This window comes from Homo sapiens, chromosome 18, assembly GCF_000001405.40.
Source record: "Homo sapiens chromosome 18, GRCh38.p14 Primary Assembly".
Taxonomy (NCBI): Eukaryota; Metazoa; Chordata; class Mammalia; order Primates; family Hominidae; genus Homo; species Homo sapiens.
Genome location: NC_000018.10, coordinates 21,491,726 through 21,514,845, shown reverse-complemented (window position 1 = coordinate 21,514,845; position 23,120 = coordinate 21,491,726). Strand labels below are relative to the sequence as shown.

Genomic DNA, 23,120 nt, shown 5'->3' with positions numbered 1-23,120 from the left:
AGGAAGAGAACCACTGATTTTGGCCCAGGCGTAATTTTACAGGTGATGGACTTGAGATATGGAGAGGTGAGATGACTTTCCTTTTTCATACAGACAGTTAAGAAGCATGACTGCGTGTGGTGGCTCACACTTGGTAATCCCAACACTTTGGGAGGCCAAGGCAGGAGGACTGCTTGAGCCCAGGAGTTCAACACCAGACTGGGCAACATCTCTACAAAAAATTATAAACAAAAAACAGAGTTGGGGCTAAAACCAGGTCTCCTGATTTGAGATGTCAGCAGTCTTTCTCCATAAATCATAGTGTCTCAACAGACTTTATTTTTGTTTTTTTGAGACAGAGTCTCGCTCTGTCACCCAGGTTGGAGTGCAGTGGCACAATCTCAGCTCACTGCAACATCTGCCTCTTGGGTTCAAGTGATTCTCTTGCCTCAGCCTCTCAAGTAGCTGGGACTGCAGGCATGCGCCACCACGCTCAGCTAATTTTTGTATTTTTAGCAGACAGGATTTCACCATGTTGGCCAGGCTGGTCTAGAACTCCTGGCCTTAAATGATCAGCCCGCCTTGGCCTCTCAAAGTGCTGGAATTACAGGCATGAGCCACTGTGCCTGGCCGCAGTAGACTTTAATAGCTAACCAACGCTGTGATCCCAGAATGGTCCAGGAATTTAATGGGCTACTGAATGTCTAAATAAAAGATTCCTAAGTCACCACAAAATGTTCTAGTGAGGGTGGTCTCATGGTTGACTGTTTTGCTCTGGAAAGCTGTCTCTCTCTTTCTTACTTCCGTATGTAACTGTAGTCAAGAAATGTATTGTCCTGTCTATAGCATTGTGTCATACGCCCCCAGCTTGGAAGTCTACCTGGATGGCTCCTGAACACTGTGAATGTTCCATAGGACACATGAGTCATCCATCATGACGATGAAAGGCCAGACACACTGGCGTTTAATGCCTAGCTCCTCCAGGCGGTTTCTCTCCAATTCTAGGTTGTGATATGATAGCTCCTTGATGAGGAACCTGGCAGCACCTGGAAGGCAACATAACCACATCTGCATATCCACACATCCTTCACTCAGGCTTGGCTGAAGCCCCACAGGCAGCTATATTCTCTCCACAGAATGCCTGTTCACATGGGAACCATGCAGGTGGGAGCCAACCAAATGTTCAGAGCAGTGGCTCTCAAACCAGTGTTACTGGGAATCACTTTTAAATGTAGATTCTTAAGAGTCCATTACTAGAGCTGCATTTGAGTCGGTATGGTGTAAGGGCCAGAAACCAGAGATATCTTTGAGGATGCAAATGGTATGAACCACACTTTGAAAGTATTGCAAGAATCCAGTTTCCCTCACAGGACAAAGGAATCCACATCTAGGAAATGCTGTTACTGTTTACTTCCTTGAAGCATGACAAGAGGCTCTCTCAGACTTGGAAGCAGCCACTCACATGTCCTGTACTAGGGAGTTAACTGGGCTGCAGTGAGTGGGTATGCCAATTCCACTGATATGTCCCCTGCTTTAGATACTTCAAGGAAACTGACGGCAGCTTCTTTGAAGAAGACAACTCTGGAAACTGGCACCCTTTCCCTAGATCTGCCTTTTGCAAGAGGCAATATGGTATAGAGATTAAGAGAAGAGACAGGAGCCAAACTGTCTGATTTTGAATCCTAATTCCACCACTTTCTAGCCATGTGACCCTGAACAAATTAAACCCATTGTGCCTTGGCTTCCCCACCTCTAAGAAGACAATAATAATGCCGATCTCATAGGGTTGCTGTATGATGCTCAGGATAGCGCCTAGTACCCTCTAAGTACTCGGTGAATGTTAGTGATTATCAAGATGATAGTCAGTAATCAGCCAAATTTTATGAGTGGGCCATCGTAAAATGAAACAAAACGTAGGTGATAAATGAAAGAAAAGCTATTAAATCTATGGAAGAACCAGAAGCAGTGTGAACAGATCAAGGGTAAAACTGGGATTTAGGAAAATCTACCTTCCAAGAACGTGTGTGTAATAGTTTGCATTCTCAACATAATAAAGGCCATATATGAAAAGCCCACAGCTAACATCATCATAGTCAATGGTGAAAGACTGAAAGCTTTTCCAAAACTGAGATCATGAACAAGACAAGGATGCCACTTTTACCATTTCTATTTAACATAATACTGGAAGTCACGGCCAGAGAAATTAAGGAAAAAATAAATAAATAAAAGGCAACCAAAGAGGAAGGAAGTAAAATTATCTCTGTTCTCAGGCAACATATACATAGAAAACTAAAAATTCCACCAAAAATCCCCTTTAGAATGAATATGTGAATCCAGCAAAGATGCAGATGCAAAATCAACACCAAAATCAGTTGCATTTCTATACCTCAACTGTGAACAATCTAAAGGAAATCAAGAGTTCCATTTACAATAGCATCAAAAAGAAAGACTTAGGAATCAACTAAGGAGGCAAAAGACTTGTACAGTGAAAAGTACAAAGCATTGATGAAGGAAATTAAGGAAGACACCAATAAATGGAAAGACATCCTGTGTTTATGGATTGGAAGACTTGATATTAGATATCAGTGCTACCCAAAGTGATCCATAGCCTTAATGCAGTCCCTATCAAAATCCCAAAGACTTTGCAGAAATAGAAAAATCTATCCTGCGATTCATCCAGTATCTCAGGGGACCCCAAATAGCCAAAACAATCTTGAAAGAGAGGCAAAGTTAGAGATCTCACACTTCCTGATTTCAGAACTTACTACAAAGCTATAGTAATGAAAACAGTGTGGTAGTTTTGATCTGGGCCTATAGAAAGCCCAGAAATAAACCCTCTCATATATGGTCAAATGATTTTTGACAAGGGTGCCAAAGCCATTCAGTGGGTAACAGATGGTCTTGTCAACAAACACAGTTGGGGGCTGGGCACGATGTCTCACACCTGTAATCTCAGCATTTTTGGGAGACTGAGGTAGGAGGATCACTTGAGGCCAGCAGTTTGAGAGCAGCCTGAGCAACACAGACCCATGTCTCTACAAAAAATTTAAAAATTAGCTAGGCATGGTGGCATACGCCTATAGTCCTAGCCACTCAGGAGGCTGAGGTGGGAGGATTGCTTGAGCTCAGAACTTGGAGGCTACAGTGAGCTATGGTCGTACCACTGCACACTCTAGCTTGGGTGACAGAGCAAGACCCTGTCTTAAAGAAAAATGGTGCTGGGAAAACCTGATAGTCACATGCAAAAGAATGAAGTTGGACCCTTACCTTAGACCCTACACAAAAATTAACTCAAAATGGATCAAAGACCTAGACATAAAAGCTAAAACTATAAATCATTTAGGAGAAAACATAGGGGAAGGCCTTGTGACATTGAATTTGGCAGTGATCTCTTACATATGATATCAAAAACAAAAGCTAAGAAAAAATAGACAAACTGGACTTCATCAAATAATAGAGTAAAAGGCAATCCATGGAATGGGAGAAAAATTTTTTTTTTTTTGAGACGGAGTTTCACTCTTGTTGCCCAGGCTGGAGTGCAGCGGTACGATCTCAGCTTACCGCAACCTCCACCTCCCCGGTTCAAGTGATTCTCCTGCCTCAGCCTCTTGAGTAGCTGGAATTACAGGCAAGTGCCACCATGCCAGGCTAATTTTGTATTTTTAGTAGAGACGGGGTTGGTCAGGCTGATCTTGAACTTCCTATTTCAGGTGATCTGCCCGCCTCGGCCTCCCAGAGTGCTGGGATTACAGGTGTGAGCCACTGTACCCGGCCGGGAGAAAATCTTTACCAAGAGTGTATCTGATAAGGCATTAATACCCAGAATATATTTTTTAAAAACTGCTACAACTCAACAACAACAAAATAATTCAGTTGATTTTTCAACAAAGGACTTTGGAGACAAGTCTTCAAAGAAGATATACAGATGGCTAACAAGCACACAAAAAGATGTTCAATATTACTAATCATTAGGGGAATGCAAAACAAAATCACAATGCAAAACACCTCAAAAAAAAAAAGTGTTGGTGAGGATGTGAAGAAATTAGAATCCCTGTGCACTGTTGGTGGGAAGGTAAAATGGTGCAAGCCACTATGGAAAACAGTATGGTGATTCTTCAGAAAGTTAAAAATAGAATTGCCACATGATCTAGCAATCTCGCTTCTAGATACATACCCAGAAGAGTTGAAATAAGGGTCTGAGATATTTGTATACCTGTGTTCATAAAAGCATGATGCACAACAGCCATAAGGTGGGAGCAGCCCAAGTGTCCACTGACGGATGAATGGATAAACAAAATGTAGTAGATACATAAAATGGAATATTATTCAGCCTTTAAGAAGGAAAGGAATTCTAACACATGCTACAACATGGATGAACCTTGAGGACATGCTAAGTGAGATAAGCCAGTCAGTCACTAAAGGACAAATACTGTATCATTCCACTGATATGAGGCACTTAGAGAAAGTAGAATGGTGGCTGCCAGACGCTGAGGGGAGGGAGGGAATGGGGAGTTGTTTAATGGGTATAGAGTTTCTGTTTCACAAGGTGAAAAGAGTTCTGGAAATCAGTCTTAAAACAATGTGAATGTACTTAACACTTCTGAACTTTAACACTTTAGAAGTATTAAAGCAGTACTTTTTTTTTTTTTTTTTGGAGACAGTTTCACTGTTGTCACGCAGGCTGGTGTGCAGTGGCATGATCTTGGCTCACTGCCGCCACCAGCTCCCGGGTTCAAGTGATTCTCCTGCCTCAGACTCCTGAGTAGCTGGTATTACAGGCGCACACCACCACACCCAGCTAATTTTTTTTTTTGTATTTTTAGTAGAGATGGGGTTTCACCATGTTGGCCAGGCTGGTCTCAAAACTCCTGACCTCAGATGATCCACCCACCTCAGCCTCCCAAAGTGCTGGGATTACAGGCGTAAGCTACCGCACCCGGCCATGGCAGTAAATTTTATGTTATGTGATTTTTACCAAAAATAAAAATAATAATTTGTATATTTCATTTGCATATGTGTGTTGGCTTCATTCTCCCCAAATTATTGCAAAAATGGCAAAACTAGTACTAAATAGTTTGGTCAGATCTAGGATGAGAAAACTTTCTCCTAAGGATCAGGCAGGCACAGAAGAAGGTCATATTCATATAGAAAAAGGCTTCAGTTAGTATGAGTATAGGTGGTTTTGGGGAGGCTGAAGGAACAGAAATATTCAGAAGCCTTAATTCACTTGATATAAAGTGATAAACAATTATATTCAAAACAAAACCATTTTTGAAAATATTTTAAGCCCATATTAAGGCTGTTTGAAGTTGAAGGACATGAAAAGGCATAGAAAGGAACAAGAAATGGGAGAGACCTAAGAAGGAAGGGAGAGGCAGAGGCTAGGTTGGGAGACAGTGGAGAAAGAGGAGACCCTGGAGAGAAGAAACACGTGGGTTCAAGAAAACTACTCAGGTCTTATCTGCCCTCCAGTCCAGCTCTAGGCTGGGTGTTATTACTTCCCTTTAAAATGGGAACAAGCAGCTCCTGACTTGGCACTGAGGCACCGACAGAAGCAGATGGGCCAAACTGTTTAGAACTGCAGCGCAAGAAGTGTCCAGAAGAGCGCAGCTCTAAAACACTGGATTCAGTTAGAGATGTCCTGCCTGAGAAAGGAAAATGAAGGCATTCTGACATCTACAGTCTCCACAGCTCTGTCATACATACAACAAGACTGGCCCCCTTTGAGAAATCAGCGCATTGCTCTTAAACTCCAGGAGGAAAGCAGGACTTCTTTCAGGCACATTCCTGTGTCATAGGCAGTAACGATGCTTCCAGCTCCCTGGTTGTACAACAGCCCCCTATAACTTGCTACGTGCCTTAAAGATGAGATGACCTAGGGGCCCCTCTTGATCTGGGTGAACCACTAATGCTGCCTCTCCCTTAGACCATCTTTTTTCTCATGGTTACATTCCTTCCCCAGAGTGCTCAGCTCAGGAACATTTGCAGCCTACATGGGGAAGAATCCCAAACCTTCCCAGGGTGCTCAGTACACCAGTGACTTCTTCCTTAATTACCAGTCCTCAGAGTTAATTCTGCAAAAGTGCAGATAAAGGGAAAAAGAAAACTCAAATTCAAGGGAGAGTCAAAAAGCTTTTTTTTTTTTTTTTTTCCGAAGAGTGGTGAGGAGGGCAGGACAATTTCTAGAGGCAGGGGAATCTGAAAGTTTCATGCCAGGGGAATGGAGCTCAGTTTATCTTCGAAGCCCTTCTCCCCATCCCAGGGGGGCCCCTTACCCACGCCTGCATTATTGAACATGCCGGGAAGCACCAGCATGATGTGGTTGGGCCAGTACTTGCGGTACAGAGGCATCTCATACTCTTTGACCACCAGGAGGTGAAGGTGGCTGATGCCCTCCATGGCGTGGAAAAGGTTTAGGAGTCCGTGCTCATGTCGACCACTGGAAGGAGTGAAAATAGGGCTCTTGACTGCATTCAAATTCTGCTGAAAGGGAAAAAAACAGACCATAAAGGGAAATTAAAGCCTCTAGATTGAAGACGCTTAAAGAACTAGGTCTGGTGCCTGCCAGTCCAGATGCTCTCACCCACCTTGTCTGAAACCAGGGGCAGCCGCATGCTCTCCAGGTGCTTGCCCTGCTTGCTGAAGACAAAATGACTCTCTTTGGATTTGGGAATGATGAAATAGAGCTGAACCTCTTCTCCCAGCATAGAAGAAGAGAATGTGAAGGCATGAAGGGTGGAGTCAGACATCTACATTTGCAAAGAAGAAAGGGAGGGAACGTAAGTAAGCCCACAGTTTCCAAACTTCCAGGCCACTCCTTCAGGTTGTTATTAAGAGATGGAAACTAACATGAACTGGTAAGTGCCACCAGAGCAGGCTGTGAGCAGCCACGTCTAAAAGGTTGATAAGGCAAACACTTCATTTAGGAGCTGCCACTGACATGACAGCCCGCCGTCTTGCACCTGCATAGCCTCAGTGGAAGAAGTACTTGTTGCCTGGCACTGCATTCTGTGTGCTCTCAGAGCCACAGCTGCTTCATCCTGTGCAGAGGTCAGATATATCTGTGGGATGTCCTGCTCTGTATGCATTCCTAAAGGTCCCCTGTTAATCGGAGGGAAACACTTCTGCTCTATGCGGGTCAGATCAAATGAATATCAGCTTTCTAAATATCAGGTTTGACATTAAAATGCCTCTCCAGCCCCATCTTTCCAGGCTACAGTGGATGCTGAAGAGGTTCAATCATTTAGCCCAGAACTCTGGTTTCAGAAAAGAGACCATTTGACTCACTGAAGCCAAATATAAATCTAACCTACATTTAAAGTGCTGCAGAGTTCACGTTTTTTCAGTAACCTATCTCAGTGAATAATTATATAATAGGTCTTTTCACGCTTTTAATGTGGATAAGATTTGGCTTAATAAAAGGATACCATCAATTTTCATCAGCAACTAGAATCGAAGTAGGTTTCCCAATGGTTTTAACCAAAATACTATATTTCATAGAAAAATAACATTACACTTCTTCCCTTAATTCTAGTTTATTCTGCCTCAGAAATGTGGGAATATACTACTTAGTACTGTAGTCACACAGAAACTTTATGAATAGAGGATTTCTAATAAAGAGATTTTCTAAAAACCTATAATCTGTAGACCAGGGGACTTGGGTCTTCTATATTCTATAAAGCTTTTATGAGCTTATTTCAAAGCAGCCCACCAAAAGTTTTCAGTGACACCAAGAAAACAAATGGGATATAAAAGGTAACTTGTATTAGAAGGGCAGAATGATTCGATCAGTTTTTTAAAGTATATCCTTTCTAGTACTCATTTGTATTTCAGGATGAGATGTGGGAAAAGGGTGACGACCTGGCCCTGAAGAGCAGAAACAGGTTTAGGGGAGTCAGTATGGCCTACCAGAAGCAGGAGTTGTTTCTGTGTGTTCAGAGCCAAGTTATAAAAATAAAGATGAATTTGGGGAAGTAAGCTCTGGATATTACTATCATTTGTTGCCTTTCCATCTTTTGTGCTTAAAGATGCACTAGCCAAAAAGAAGCCACATACTAAGGGTTATTGGCCCATGTTCTTCATTCCTATGTCTCAGTTCTCACTGCATAAAACAAACTGACTCCACTGGCCAAGCCACCCCACGCAGGTGTGAGAATATGACTAGGTTGGTGCAAATCAACAGTCTTGTTAGAATCACAGCTCAAAGGGCACACCCTGTGGATCTGAGATAATAGTGCCATTTTAGTCAGTGCTCCAAAGGGAAGAGGGGGAAACCCTTTTATCAAATATACTGTAATATATGGATTGCAAATAAACACCTCAGCTACTTCCTAACCTAAACATGACACGTGTAACCATTTGAAGAAGTAATTCAAGACACTAAAACTAAGCTGCCTCCTCTCCCTCCCATAATCCAAATAAACCCAACATTCATTTAATTATGGCTTCATGCATTGTGCTTTTTTTTTTTTTGAGACGGAGTCCCACTCTGTCACCCAGGCTGGAGTGCAGTGGCGTGGTCTCGGCTCACTGCAACCTTTACCTTCCAGGTTCAAGCATTTCTCCTGCCTCAGCCTCCTGAGTAGCTGGGATTACAGGCATGTGCCACCACACCCGGCTAATTTTTTGTATTTTTGGTAGAGACGGGGTTTCACCATGTTGGCCAGGATGATCACGAACTTCTGACCTCAGGTGATCCACCCGCCTCGGCCTCCCACAGTGCTGGGATTACAGGGTGAGCCACCGCGCCCAGCCTTCATGCATTTTTCTCACCAATGAGTGGCTCCTTCTTATGAGTAAACTATCCTTTACCAGAGGCCTGAAACTAGGGGCCTTATTTTTCATCCCTCCACCCCCCACCCTTACATACAAAATCCATACTGGGTGACAGAGGGCGAGGGCGAAGGTGGGATGGTACCTGGGAGGCAGAGGTGAAGTCCATGTACTGGCGGCACTGTTCACAGTGGTGAAAGGTGTTATAGGCTGCATATTTGGTCAGCATTATGGATACAGTTTCCCGTTTCCTGGGCTCTTCAACTTTGGATTCCTTTATCACTTCTGTGTATAAAGGGGCAAAAAGCCATCCCATGAGATAACATGTTTTCCCTATGCCTGGAAAGAAAAGTCCCTCTTTCCCCAAAATGACTTTTCCATGTATTCTGTAATTTATGCCCTAAGAAACAGTTATGAAAATTTAAAAAATGATGCGCATAAGAGCGAAAGAAAAGTGAGATGTAAGGCACCCTGAGCTAGTGTCCCCTTAACCCAGAGAGGAGGTGAACTTGGCTGATTGCACTGACCTTGTTTGACCCCTGCCAGCTTCTCAGTATACACCAGGCTCATCAAACTGTACTTGGGGTCATGCACACTGACATCAAAAGGCATTTTACTGAAGCTCTCGATGTCAGGCCAGGGCTCTCCCTCTGACTGGCTCACTTCACTGCTTTCATTGTGATCTAGGACAAGAAGGAAGTGTGCAGAGCAGGTGACTGGCCTCCCTCTTCCCCATGTGTCAGAGAGAATGGCTTTTATGGGACGTAGAGCCCAGATGGGTGGACAAAGGCATTTCTGAAAAATGAGCTCCCCTGTCCCAGTAGAGGAGGCAGAATTGTTCACACCCATGCTGAGAGGAACATTTGCCCTCACTGGCCCCCAGCATTCGTCTCTGCAGACCCAATTCACAAACTCTGGCATCTGTAAGATAACCTAGTCTCCACCAGGCCAAATTTCCTTAAAAGTTTAATTTTGGATGATCTTATTTCTGTCTTGAGATTTTAACTGTGGGGTGTTAATATACTGACACCCAAGAGATTTTAGGATGCACTGAGCAAGATTCCCAATGTCTTCCGCACGTTACAATCAGCTGGGAGCTGGTAAAAATTCCCACACTCAGGCCACACATCCCAGAATAGTTCAGTCAGAATGTCTGACTGCCCAGGATCCAGTCATATTGTTTAAGGCGCCTCAGAGTGTTCCAATATGCAGTCACGGTTGAGAGCCAGTAGACCTGGGTGTGAATCCTGGCCCTACCCCTTACAGCGTCACACCTTCAGGCACTGTACTTAACCCTGAGTCCCCAGATTATAGTAAGCATTAATGCAGCCTCAACCACCTGGGATCAAATGATCCTCCCACCTCAGCCTCCTGAGTAGCTGGGACTACAGGCACGTGCCACCATGCCCAGCTAACGTTTTTGTAGAGGCAGGGTCTTACTGTATTGCCTAAGCTGGTCTTGAACTGCTGGGCTCAAGCAATCATCCTGCCTCAGCCTCCCAAAGTGCTGGAACCGCAGGTGTAAGCCACCATACCAGACCCTTTTCTTTTTGTTTTTGGAGACAGGGTCTCACTCTGTCACTCAGGCTAGAATGCAGTGATGCAATGTAAGCTCACTGCAACCTTGAACTCCTGGGCTCAAGGAATCCTTCCACTGCAGCTTCCTGAGTAGCTAGGATTGCAGGCGTGTACCATCACACCTGGCTAGAGTTTTAAAATTTTTGTGAGAGATGGGGTCTCCCTGCTGCTCAGGCTGATCTCAGACTTCTAGCCTCAAGCCATCTTCCCACCTTGGCCTCCCAAAGCACAGGGGATTACAGGTGTGAGCCACCCTGCCCAGCCAGAGATGGTACATTTAAAGTGCCAAGACACGCTGGACATGGTGGCTCACACCTGTAATCTCAGCATTTTGGGAGGCCGAGGCAGGCAGATCATTTGAGGTCAGGAATTCGAGACCAGCCTGGCCAACCCTGTCTCTACCAAAAATACCAAAATTAGCTGGGTGTGGTGGCACATGCCTGTAGTCCAGCTACTCAGGAGGCTAAGAATCACTTGAACCCCTGAGACGGAGGTTGCAGTGAGTTGAGATCGTGCCACTGCACTCCAGCCTGTGTGACAGAGTAAGAGTCTATCTCAAAAAATAAATAAATAAATAAAATAAAGTGCCTAGACAGTTGCAGGCACACAGCTGGTGTCTAACAGATATTTTTTATGATTGGCCAGGTGCAGTGGCTCACACCTGTAATCCCAGCATTTTAGGAGGCCGAGGTGGGTGGATCCCCTAAGGCTAGGAGTTCGAGACCAGTCTGGCCAAAGTGGTGAAACCCTGTCTTTACTAAAAATACAAAAAACTAGCTGGGTGTGGTGGTGCATGCCTTTAATCCCAGCTACTTGGGAGGCTGAGGCAGGAGAATCGCCTGAACCTGGGAAGCAGAGGTTGCAGTGAGCCAAGATCGCACCACTGCACTCCAGCCTGGGTGACAGAGCAAGACTCCATCTCAAAAATAATAATAATAATAATAATGATAATAAAGTGCCAAGACAGTTGCAGGCACGCAGCTGGTGTCTAACATTATATTTTTTATTAGTGGCCAGGTGCAGTGGCTCACACCTGTAATCCCAGCACTTTGGGAGGCCGAGGTGGGTGGATCACATGAGGTCAGAGTTTGAGACCAGGCTGGCCAAGATGGTGAAACCTCACCTCTACTAAAAATACAAAAATTAGCTGGGCATGATGGCGTGAGCCTGTAATCCCAGCTACACAGGAGGCTGAGGCAGGAGAACTGCTTGAACCCAGGAGGCAGAGGTTGCAGTGAGCCGAGATCATACCACTGCACTCCAGCCTGGACGACAGAAACTCCATCTTAAAATATATATTTTTTTATTATTAATAATAATAAAATGTATAAGATGAAAAAGTAGCTTAAGACAACTTTCAAAGGGAGAAAAGAAACTTTCCAAAAAAGGCTAAAGATTGGAGGTACAGCTAATATCTTTTTAACACATATAATACATTTATTTTTATATCCCTGAACTAAAGTCTGCACTTTCAAGCCTAGTTTAGTTTTTAAAAAGGTGTCATTGTGCCTCTTGAGAGCACCATTGCATTAACCTGCACTAAAATGAGGGAGAAGGGAGAAAGCCAAACTAACAGTGTTTCTTACTACAAAGGTCAAACAGGCTGTAGCAGACTCTCACAGCTCACCGGCACAGAGTAAGAGTCAAGATCACTGTAGCATGATCTGAGGAAAAAAATCAAAGGCATCACTCTGCTGTGGTGCCAGCGAGCCTGGCGGGAGAGCTGGCAGAAGGGCAGGCCTCGACTCCCGGTCTGCTTGGCTCTGGCTTTGCCCTTCTGGCTCAGCTCTTTCTGGGGGCCTTGGGGTGTTTTGAGGCCAACCTGGTGGGCCCGACGATCTAGTGCAGCTTAGCTGGGAAAAAAACAAGGAGATGTAGATGGGAAGATGAATTCGTGTGTGTGTCTAAAAACATGTATGTGAATTGATGAGAAATGGAAACAGGCCTGAAGCCATAAAAAAGTGGTTAAATATGGCTGATTTTACCTACTCTTGCTCGGCCCTAAACTAGTTTCTTGGGCTGGTCATGGAACAGGTTCAGCTATTTAGGTAAAACAAGTGAGGTGAGATCTCCAAGAGCTAATTTGGTAGATGATGCCAAGGGCTTTCCCTATTCCAGACTCATCTTTGAGAGGCTTGAGAGGAACTTCCGCCTGGTTGCCTCTACTTCCTCCCCACAGTTCCCTGCCAGCACAGTCAAATTGGTGGGAGGTGTGAAGCCACAGTTTTGAGCCACACTATTCTTCTTCTTCTTTTTTTTTTTTTTTGAGACAGAGTCTCGCTCTGTCGTCCAGGCTGGAGTGCAGTGGCGTGATCTCAACTCACTGCAAACTCCGCCTCCCGGGTTCAAACAATTCTGTGCCTCAGCCTCCCAAGTAGCTGGGATAACAGGCACCCGCCATCACCCCCGGCTAATTTTTGTATTTTTAGTAGAGACAGGGTTTCACCATGTTGGTCTCGAACTCCTGACCTCAGGTGATCCGCCCGCCTTGGCCTCCCAAAGTGCTGGGATTACAGGCGTGAGCTACTGCACCGTGCCAGTGCCGAGCCGAGCCACACTGCTCTTAGCGGCAGAGTGGAATCAACTCCCTGGTGCCAGCTGGGGAAGACAGCTGGAGTGGTCTTGGTATGCCCACTGGCTTCCACAGCCCTATCAAGCACCTGCCCTTGTGTCTCAGTGCCGATGTTTTGTTCATAGTGCCAGCATTCAGTTCTACACATAGAAGTTTTCATCTCATTATAGTAATCCCGTGCCTTCACTCAGAGCCTATGGGTAAAATATAAGACATACTCTGACCAATCAACAAAGGACTAGTATCCAGAATACAAATATGCCCTGGATCCTGAAGCAGTTGAATACTACAACTCGAATTTTACAATAGTTAACCATCTAGGCAATTAATCTACCTAAAAAGCCTTTATAAAACACTTTTTTGCAGCCATAAAAAAGAATGAGTTCATGTCCTTTGCAGGCACATGGATGAAACTGGAAGCCATCATTCTCAGCAAACTAACACAGGAACAGAAAACCAAACACAGCATGTTCTCACTCACAGGTGGGAGCTGAACAATGAGAACACATGGACACAGGATGGGTGAGGGGCAAGAGGAGGGAGAGTATTAGGACAAATACCTAATGCATGCGGGGCTTAAAACGTAGATGACGGGTTGGTAGGTGCAGCAAACCACCATGGCACACGTATACAGCTGTGTAACAAACCTGCACATTCAGCACATGTATCCCAGAACTTAAATTAAAAAAAAAAAAACAGCCCAAAAACCAAAACGCCTTTTTGCCCAGCACCTCGCAGGACATTGTAAAGAGGCTAAAAGTAGAATACACCATCCCTGACCTCAATGAGCTAAAAAAGGCTACAGTTTACTCAGAACTATTTGCCGGGCACATTCTTTTTTTTCATTTCTTTCTTTCTTTCTTTTTTTTTTTTTTTTTGAGACAAAGTCTCACTCCATCACCTAGGATGGAGTATAGTGATGTGATCTTGGCTCACTGCAACCCGCCTCCTGGGTTCAAGTGATTCTCCTGCCTCAGCCTCCTGAGTAGCTGGAATTACAGGTGTGCACAACCATGCTTGGCTAATTTTTATATTTTCAGTAGAGATGGGGTTTCACCATATTGCCCAGGCTGGTCTTGAACTCCCCATCTCAGGTGATCCACCCGCCTTGACCTCCCAAAGTGCTGAAATTACAGGCGTGAGCCGCCATGCCTGGCCTTGGGCACATTATCTTTAGCCTCCCAATAACTCTGCAGGTTAGGTACTGTAGAAATCCCAGAAGCCAAAAGCAAGTTCCCGGGATTTGCAATTCAATGTCTTTGTCTCTTGCCCCTCTGCCCACTCCCTGGGCTCAGCACTCACCGGTGTTGATCTCCTCCTCATCATACACGTCCACCTCCAGGAGCCTGATGAGCATGCGGAAGAGGATCCTGAGGAACTGTAAATAGGAGCCCGTCTTTCCCACCTAATGGAAAGATTTTTAATTGGGGAGGAGTGGAGGCGGGAAAGAGAGGGGAAGAAAAGAGAAAAGAGATTTCACACCTTGGCTCTGCAGTGTCTCCTGCCTGAGAGGCCTGAATGAGGTCCTCACTGCTCTGTCACACCTGCTCCACCCCCAAGAGGTTTTCTGGCTTCTACTTCTTGAGGAAGACGCGCCAACCCCAGCCTAAGAAACGGCCCCGGCTGGCTTGGCCCTACCTGTGGGGGCCCTGTCAGCAGGAGCCGTCGGGGGTGGAAGTTTCGGGTGCCAGAGGCCGGGTCCAGCTGGTTGCTATAGTCAGCGTGGTGCTGCCGGGCCAAGGTCCACTGCCTGTAGTAGAGGGACTGCTCCTCACTGCTCATGTCCTTGTTCAGGAGTGGCCGCAGGGAGCTCACCCAGGCCACGTCGGCGTGGGGCAGCAGGGAGGAGGAGGATGGCAGCTTGCCACTCTTCTGGGAGCCCAGGAGACTGTAGGCCGCTTTGGATAGGATCACCACTGGTGGCAGGGCTGCCTGTGGGCCCCGGCAGCCTCTGATGGGCTGTCCCGGCCATGGGAGGGTCCTGGGTCCTGAGGATGATGATGACGGCTTGGAGGTGGTGCTGCTCGCCATCTGGGGGCCCAGGGAGTCACATTCCTGCTTCAGAGTCTCCCCGGCTCCGGCTCCAGCTGAGCTGGCGGAGACCCCTTCATCCAGCCCCAAGCTGGTGGCTGGGCTCTGAAAGCTGGGGGTCAGGGACTGCTTCTGGGACTTGTCAGCTGTGCTGGAAGAGCTCACTCCATTCTCCATGATGGAACCTGTGAGAGAACAGACAGAACCCACCCCACAGCAGCTCTGTTACTGATCTAGGGTGTGGAAGCAGACAAAGGCCAGGAAAGCAGTGGACACTGGGCTCGGCTCCGCGGCTGCAGACCCTGAGCAAGAAATCTTCTCTTTGCCGCTCTCCACATTGCTCCGTGTTGCTTCCTTGCCCTGGCTTCTCAGTTGGTTTGGCCAATGGCAGCCACCAGCAGGAGATGGGGTGCTTCTTCTGTGGCTTCCCCCTGCATGGTCTTCAGGGGTGAACCACCTTTCTCTACTGTGGGCTGCGGCTCAGGTCTGGAGAGGTGCTCCCACCCCTCCCTGTGTCAGGCCCACGGTGGCCAGGGCTCCCTGGGGTTAACCACCCCCCAGCACAGCACACCTCTTGCTCCTTTTCCAAGTTCTGTTCACATCTTAGTAAATAGTCCCTCTACTAAACGCTCCTCAAATGACCTGGTTTGGGTCTGCCCTCTGATTCCTCCCAGGACCCCACCCAAAACAGGCTCCACATTCAAGTCCTGTCCTGGCAGCACTGGCTTCCTTCTAGGGACTGAGGGCCTCATGCCTCTGGCTTCAGATCAGCTCCCCAGACTGCAACCCCTTCCATGGACTCCGAAGCTAGGGTGGGGGATGCCCTGCGCGAAGTGGGACATAGGCGTATGCGACTCCAAGGCCGGTGGCTTTTCCCTAAAGTAGCCCCACATATTTGACCAGTTCCTTTCAAGTGTGTTTGTCCTCCTAACAGACCAGCCACTCTTTGGTTTAAAGACAAACCAAAAGCTCAACTAAAGGCCCTCTCTGAGCTCGGCTTGTTGCTGCCCAGACAGGGAGGTCGAATCCCAACCTTGGGAGATCCTGAATGAACAGCCATCAACAAGACATGATTAAAACCCGCCCCTTCACTTGCTCAGCTGCCTGTGTCTCTCTGCCTTGGGGGAGAGCTTGCCTTCTCCCCGCAGCACTGTGCATTCTGGGCAGTGAACCTCCCCGTCACCCTCTGAGTCAGCCATGGCTGGGGTCCCTGTGCTCTGTGTCATGAGCATGGCCTGTAGGGAGGGACACAGTAGCCAAGGGCAAACCACCTTTGTGAGTTCAGCAGAGCAAGGCCAGGGAAGCGCTCACTTTGTGGGGCAGCTCAAGTGAGGGAGAGGAAGGAGTGGGACGGAAGAACCACAGGAAGGAAGACAGGCTGTGCTCCTCCTCCTCATGCTGGTATCCAAAAGCTTCCAGGTGTTATCCCCCACCCCCCTTCTGTGAACCTTTACTATCCTTCAAACCCCTTGACTCTATTCTGAAACTGCTCTCAGAGAGAAAACTGGGGAGCCTGTTGCGATGGGGTTGAGGCAGGCAGAGTGGTCCACATGGTCAGCCCTAACCCCTGGCTGGGGGAGCAGGGCAGCTCCAGCAACTCCAGGCTGAGGGTCACTATCAACAGCAAACCCCACAGACCCCTCCTCTTCTGTTCCTGCCCAGAGCCATCCAGCAGCTGCTGCCAGAATGGACAGGAAGACCAGTGCTGCTTTTGGACAAAATTATGGTGTGTTCGCATGTATGTGTCAGAGTGATGGAAGGATCTCAATGATAGCTCAAAAAAAGGGTGAGAGGCTGGGCGCGGTGGCTCACGTCTGTAATCCCAGCACTTTGGGAGGCTGAGGCGGGTGGATCACCTGAGGTCATGGGATCGAGACCAGCCTGGCCAACATGGTGAAACCTCATCTCTACTAAAAATACAAAAGTTAGCTTGGTGCGGTGGCGGGTGCCTGTAATCCCAGCTACTCAGGAGGCTGAGGCAGGAGAATCGCTTGAACCTGGGAGCTGGAGGTTGCAGTGAGCTGAGATCGTGCCACTGCACTCTAGCCTGGGGGACAAGAGCGAAACTCCATCTCAAAAAAAAAAAAAAAAAGGGGGGGGGGTGGTGAGGGGAGAAGGAGGGGCATGTGACCCAACATTAAGAGTGATTACTTCTGGAAGTGGGCGTGTGTTTCATTTTTAATCTCAGAATTCTCTGTACTTTGTTACATTCTCCATGTTTTCTTTCTTCTTTCTTTTTTTTTCCCTCTCTCTTTCTTTCTTTTTTTTTGAGACAGAGTTTTCCTCTTGTCACCCAGAATGGAGTGCAGTGGTGCGATCTTGGCTCACTGCAACCTCCACCTCCTGGGTTCAAGTGATTCTCCTGCCTCAGCCTCCAGGGTAGCTGGGACTACAGGCGCCCGCCACCATGCCCAGCTAATTGTTTGTATTTTTAGTAGAGATGAGGTTTCACCATGTTGGCCAGGCTGGTCTCGAACTCCTGACCTCAGGTGATCCACCTGCCTCGGCCTCCCAAAGTGCTAGGATTACAGGACCACTGCACCCGGCCGACATTTTCCATGTTTTCTGCATTAAGCTTTATTACTTTCATAATCAGAAAAAATGGAAAGAGTGCTGCATTTGCTATAATACAATTTATCAGAAGAAAATTCATGCCAGGCACTGCCATAGACCTGCAGTAATGCTGCAAGACAGAGGCCGGCAGGCTGCAGGGTGGGCCTTCACCATTGACAGTGGCCCCAGAGGAGCCCTCAGCATACAATGCTTGCTGTTAACTGTTTAGAAAAGCCATTCATTCATTCATTCATTCTAGGAAACATTTTGTGCCAGGTACTAAGCCATTTAGCACAAACATACAGCTTCAGGACCTGGAAGAAAAACAGGGCCTTTGTGCAAATATGAGATGCATAATAACCATGAGAAGATTAAGGGTAGAAAAGACTAGGGAAAATGGTACAGGCTAGGGTTGATAAAATTGTTTTTAGCCTATTACCAAGCTCTTCCTTAAATGTTTACCCAGGAAAGTATTTTGTGGCTGTTCAACAGTCATGTTTTCCAAGCATCTCCCACCTGGAGCTGGGTCTGGAGAGGATGCCAGTCCCTGAAGGCTCCTCTGAAGGCCGTTGGGGTGTCAGTAAATGCCTCTGCCTTCCAAATTCCTACACACCTCCTGACTCATGTCTCTCACTCCATGAAAGAGAAAAGAAAGTACTGACCCGAGGTCCCTGTGACAGCGCTGCTGTTGCTCTGGGGCCGCTCCAGGTCGATGAGCAGCTCATCGGAGTCATTCTCACTGACAGCAGCTCTCTCCTGCTCCTTCCCGCTGAGGTCCAGGGCAACAGTGGGTCCCCGGATGACCTCTTTTGAGACATAGCAGCATGCCAGACCCACCTCCTGCTCCAAGGCCGTGCGAGTTAAATAGCTTGAGTCAATTAACCGGAGGTCACAGTACTTCAAAGACCTGAACAAAAGTAATTGTGTTGTTGGTGAGTCTATCTGGCCAGGCACGCAGTGTGTATGTGTGCCTGGTGATCTGGATGCAACACACAGCAGTTAAAATCATAGGTTTCAGTGCCAGGTGAGCCTTGACTGAAACCTCAGCTCTGCCACCTCCCAGCTGTTATGACCTTCACTTCTTTGTGCTTCATTTTCTTCGAATATAAAAAGAGTGGATAGTGTCGGGCTCATATGGTTGTTTTAAGGACTGAATACATGTAAGGCATTTAGGGCACTGCCTGACACGCACAGTAAGCATTCAGCTAATGCTTTTATTGTTGATGTTGTTGTTGCCCTCCAGTCTATGGAGTCTAGATCCTTGAGGGGTGCAGGAATAGCAGATTAACAAAGACAAAGCACTTTATAAAAAAAAATCCTGCTTTTCCTCCCTGCCTCTCTGACATTTCTCAAATGTGGCTATCGCCCATTCCCAAAATTGCTGGGTGTTCTCTGGAAAGCTAAAAAAAAAGAATAAAAGAAGGTTGTATGGCTGTATTTCTTGTATCCCTGCATTAAACAATCCTCTTCTCATTACCTGCCAAACAAAGGAAATGACTGGGCCATCAGCCAAGTTTTAATCATCAGTTCAGCTGGGCAACTGATGAAAAATGGAATTAATTATTGAAACTGTACCTGGGAAAGGTTTCTCCAAGAGGATCTTTGCCAGTTAATATCACAATACAAGGTAGACCGTCTAAATCTTGGTATGTCCGAGGGATCCACTCTTCTGGTTCATTTCCTCTCCAACTCTACAGAAAGAGACCCGTATGTTAAAATTAAAACTCTCATTTAAGTTTCCACCTTTTTTACAGGCTTCTGAGTCCAGATTTTAGACACACTGTGCTTTCAAATTACTCCACTAAGTGTTTACATATGTTTATGTATGTATATTTTAACTGCTACTACATCGCATATACAAGGCACTTCTGAAGGAACGAGGGCTGTAGTTTATCTCAGTAGGATAAAACGGAGATGCTGGTATACCTCAGACATTAGTAACACAAGCCAAAAACACATACAATGTGAAATATCCCACTAGTGATGGAAACCTTACAGAAATCCTGGCTAAACTACCTGAATCCAGGCACTTAAATATACTTTCTTCACACATTGGAGAAATTCTTGGGATTGGAAGACTGAAAAAGAGTTTCAGTTGTGAATGACTCAAAAAAGAATCTCAGAATTCCATTAAAACAGACATTTCACCAAGAAAATAATGAAAACATTGAACCACTCTTGATAGTTATTTTCCCTCCTTCTTGCTTTACTGACTTTTAAAATAACTAACAAGCAATTATTGGCTTAGGGCCTTGAAAGAATCTCTCTCAAGAAGGCTAAAAATATAACCAGACCTGGATTGAGAAAAAAACAACAAAACGAAACTGCCCCTCATTTGGAGGGGTAATGTAATTGGCTTATGGTTTCTCAAAGAACCTATTAAGTATCAATTTTTCATATAAACACACATATACATAGACATACATATCTTTAATAAATGGAACACCAATCTTGAAAACATAAACATATCAATGAAAAGTAATCCCGCCAATTTGAAAAATATTCAAAAGTAAAATGATCTTACAGATGTGTCTATTTTAGAACAGAAAGAAAAATAACCATCTCTTAAGTAGATAAGGTGGTTTCTACTGCTTTTCATTAAGTGTGTAGCATGTACCTATACTTTTTACTACCTTTCTAGCAGGAGTTATTATAAGCAATGAACTGACATTTCTGATAACGTTTTAGGGGAACAGACTAAGAAGCAAGGTGTTAAGTAATACATACAATTTTTTTTTTTTTTAGACAGAGTCTTGCTCTGTTGCCCAGGCTGGAGTGCCGTGGACAGGTGTGAGCTACCATACCTGGCCAGTAATGCATACAATTTTGTTTTAAAATAGACTGGTACTTCCTTTGCTAAGCACAAAATAGGATAAAAAGAAAGTCACCAAGCAAAAGACAATAGGGTTTGATTGGTGATTTGCTAATGCCTAGAAAAGGCTCAATAAAGAAAAGGCTCAATAAAGAAAAGCCAGTCTTTAGAAATAAACATTCCCACAATCACTTCAAATAAAATTTCTATAATTTGTAAAACTGGAAGAAGCTTAACCATTCTTAGGCTTTTACTTGTTGTCCAATCTTTTATTATATATGTGCATACTAAGGGGAAATAGGGAATCTACGTAACTGTTCACAAGTTTCACAGACTTCCCGTGTTTTAGAAAAATCAATGTGTCAAAAAGATTTTTTTAATGCTAGAAGAAAAATTCTCTGTAAAAATTTAATTTTCCATACCATTTCATGTCAGGGGGAACCATAACATTGTCTCATTTAAAGCAAACCATTCTGGAATAGAAATCACTTTACTGATCACATTCACACTGGACGCATGGTATCCCTGACACTGGGTTTCTCCCTGAATGTGTTTTATCTCCCAGAACTGTCTCTATAGAGGTCATAGCTTTACCAGGAAGAGGTCAGGTTTATATTGATGGAATAAGAGTTAAAATGTTTTACTGTATGAGGACTTTTTTTTTTTTTTTTTTTTTTTTTTTTGAGACAGGGTCTCACTCTGTCACCCAGGCTGGAGTACAGTGGTGCAATCTTGGCTCATGGCGACCTCCACCTCCCGGGTTCAAGCGAATCTCCTGCCTCAGCCTCCTGAGTAGCTGCGATTACAGGCACCCACCACCACACCTGGCTAATTTTTGTATTTTTAGTAGAGATGGGGTTTCGCCATATTGGCCAGGCTGGTCTTGAACTCCTGACCTCAAGCGACTGCCCGCCTCAGTCTCCCAAAGTGCTGGGATTATAGGCGTGAGCCACTGCACCTGGCCTATATGAGGATGTTTATTTTCAGATTAGTAGTCAAATCTCACTTTTACTCTTGACCAACCACAGCTAGCCAAACCCACTATAAAATGCTTTTCCATCACATTGCTCCTTCTGATGACTGATGGCTGCAGTTCTCCTGTGCATCAATCAGGCCCTCAAGATGACATTGCAGAAGCACTTAACACAAAAGATGGGGTGATCATTGAGTTCAAGGATAATACAAGGCTTAAGAACAAGGACATCTAATGAAAGCTTCACCTGCCTTCTGGAGGAACTGACTTAAACTTTGTATCCTTCCAAAGGGGTCATCATCAGTATAAGTTAACCACAATACATAACAGGATAATTAGGGGTAAGCACAAAAATAAGATCACATAATAGAAGTAGTGTTGGATTTTACCCAAAAGTAGAGATAGAAGGCACAATCTTGCCATCCTGAAAATGGTGAAGGAGGTTGATAACTTAGAAATAAATGAGTGAGCCGCAATCTACTTGACAATTCAGTCTTGCTTACGATGTGAACATCCCAACATGATCTCATATTTTTACTCCCACACAAATACAGAGTATAAAAAGGACTGATGTGATCCAGTGATTTTGAGAATTTGGGACTTGTTTATTTTTATATATTTTTAAGAGACAGGGTCTCACTCTGTTGCACAGGCTGGAGTGCAGTGGTGGGATCATAGCTCACTGCAGCCTCAAACTCCTGGGCTCAAGCAAACCTCCTGCCTCAGGCTCCCAAGTAGCTGGGACTACAGGCATGAGCCATCACAGCAGCCAGAATATGGGACACTCTTATACGTACTTGTTGCCTGGCAGCTACTCATACCAATTGAGGAAGATGTCACTGCCTTGAGAAGTCGTAACTTGAGGCCCCCTTCGTTTAGGGCACAGTGATTGTCAACTAATGTGCCTCTGAAAGCCCTGCAGGTGATTCTGATGAGCTAGCAGCCAGGTGAAGAACCTCAGGCCTTGACTGTGGTTTTCCAACAGTGGTCCAGAGGGGTAAATTATTTAGGACAGACTGATTTATACTGACTTAGTGACTGGCCCTTCTGAACACATGATTAAGACTCTCTAAGTAGCTTCACTTAATCAGTGTCAACAGAGACCAGGAGAAGACCCAGCAGCCTCACGTGCATTTAGGTCATCTCTGGCAACAGATGTGGGAGACTTAGCATGGTGCTGCTGATTGTCCGCCTTTCCAAATTCTTTTTCTTTTTCTTTCTTTTTTTTTTGAGACAGAGTCTTGCTCTGTCGCCCAGGCTGGAGTGTAGTGGCACAATCTCGGCTCACTACAAGCTCCGCCTCCCGGGTTCACGCCATTCTCCTGCCTCAGCCTCCCGAGTAGCTGGGACCACAGGCGCCCGCCACCATGCCTGGCTAATTTTTTGTATTTTTAGTAGAGACAGGGTTTCACCGTGTTAGCCAGGGTGGTCTTGATCTCCTGACCTTGTGATCCGCCCGCCTCGGCCTCCCAAAGTGCTGGGATTACAGGCATGAGCTACCGTGCCCAGCCTCCAAATTCTTCATCATTAGCAATATTCAAATGGTCTCAAGCCCGTAATTCATGTCTCCATGAATTATACTGTAAGAAGCGTTTCCGGAGTTTTGTTATTCATCCTAGGAATTCCACTGTAATGTAGTCTATGACTATAACATAAAATTGTGAACGTGTATCTATATATGAAACATAAATGTTACAACTTCTAAATTTAGGAGTTTCTATTTTTTGGACAATTTTATTTGTTCCAATTGCTTATTAAGCTAATACAAGATATTTTGTCTGCATTTTGGATTATTCAATTTAGGTTAGCTAACTGAACACAAGAAGAAGATTTACATCTCCAGAACAATT

At 45.4% G+C, this 23,120-nt stretch overlaps 1 protein-coding gene across 29 annotated transcripts in view; it reads right to left on the bottom strand.

Annotated features, from left to right (window-relative positions):
* Window positions 1–23,120, bottom strand: part of GREB1L (GREB1 like retinoic acid receptor coactivator) — a 283,881-nt gene that overhangs the window by 11,267 nt on the left and 249,494 nt on the right. For 17 of the 29 annotated variants that reach the window (XM_006722547.4, XM_011526179.4, XM_047437819.1 and 14 more), the window contains 9 exons: window positions 19,061–19,176; window positions 18,148–18,392; window positions 14,540–15,117; window positions 14,204–14,306; window positions 9,279–9,434; window positions 8,897–9,036; window positions 6,567–6,728; window positions 6,255–6,462; window positions 860–1,025 (listed from right to left, as the gene is read on the bottom strand). In XM_006722547.4, coding sequence (XP_006722610.1) covers window positions 860–1,025; window positions 6,255–6,462; window positions 6,567–6,728; window positions 8,897–9,036; window positions 9,279–9,434; window positions 14,204–14,306; window positions 14,540–15,117; window positions 18,148–18,392; window positions 19,061–19,176 — 1,874 coding nt within the window. Of the gene's footprint in view, window positions 1–859; window positions 1,026–6,091; window positions 6,463–6,566; window positions 6,729–8,896; window positions 9,037–9,278; window positions 9,435–14,203; window positions 14,307–14,539; window positions 15,118–18,147; window positions 18,393–19,060; window positions 19,177–23,120 lie in introns of those variants that run through there. The other 12 variants (NM_001410867.1, XM_047437816.1, NM_001142966.3 and 9 more) reach the window with 3 other exon arrangements.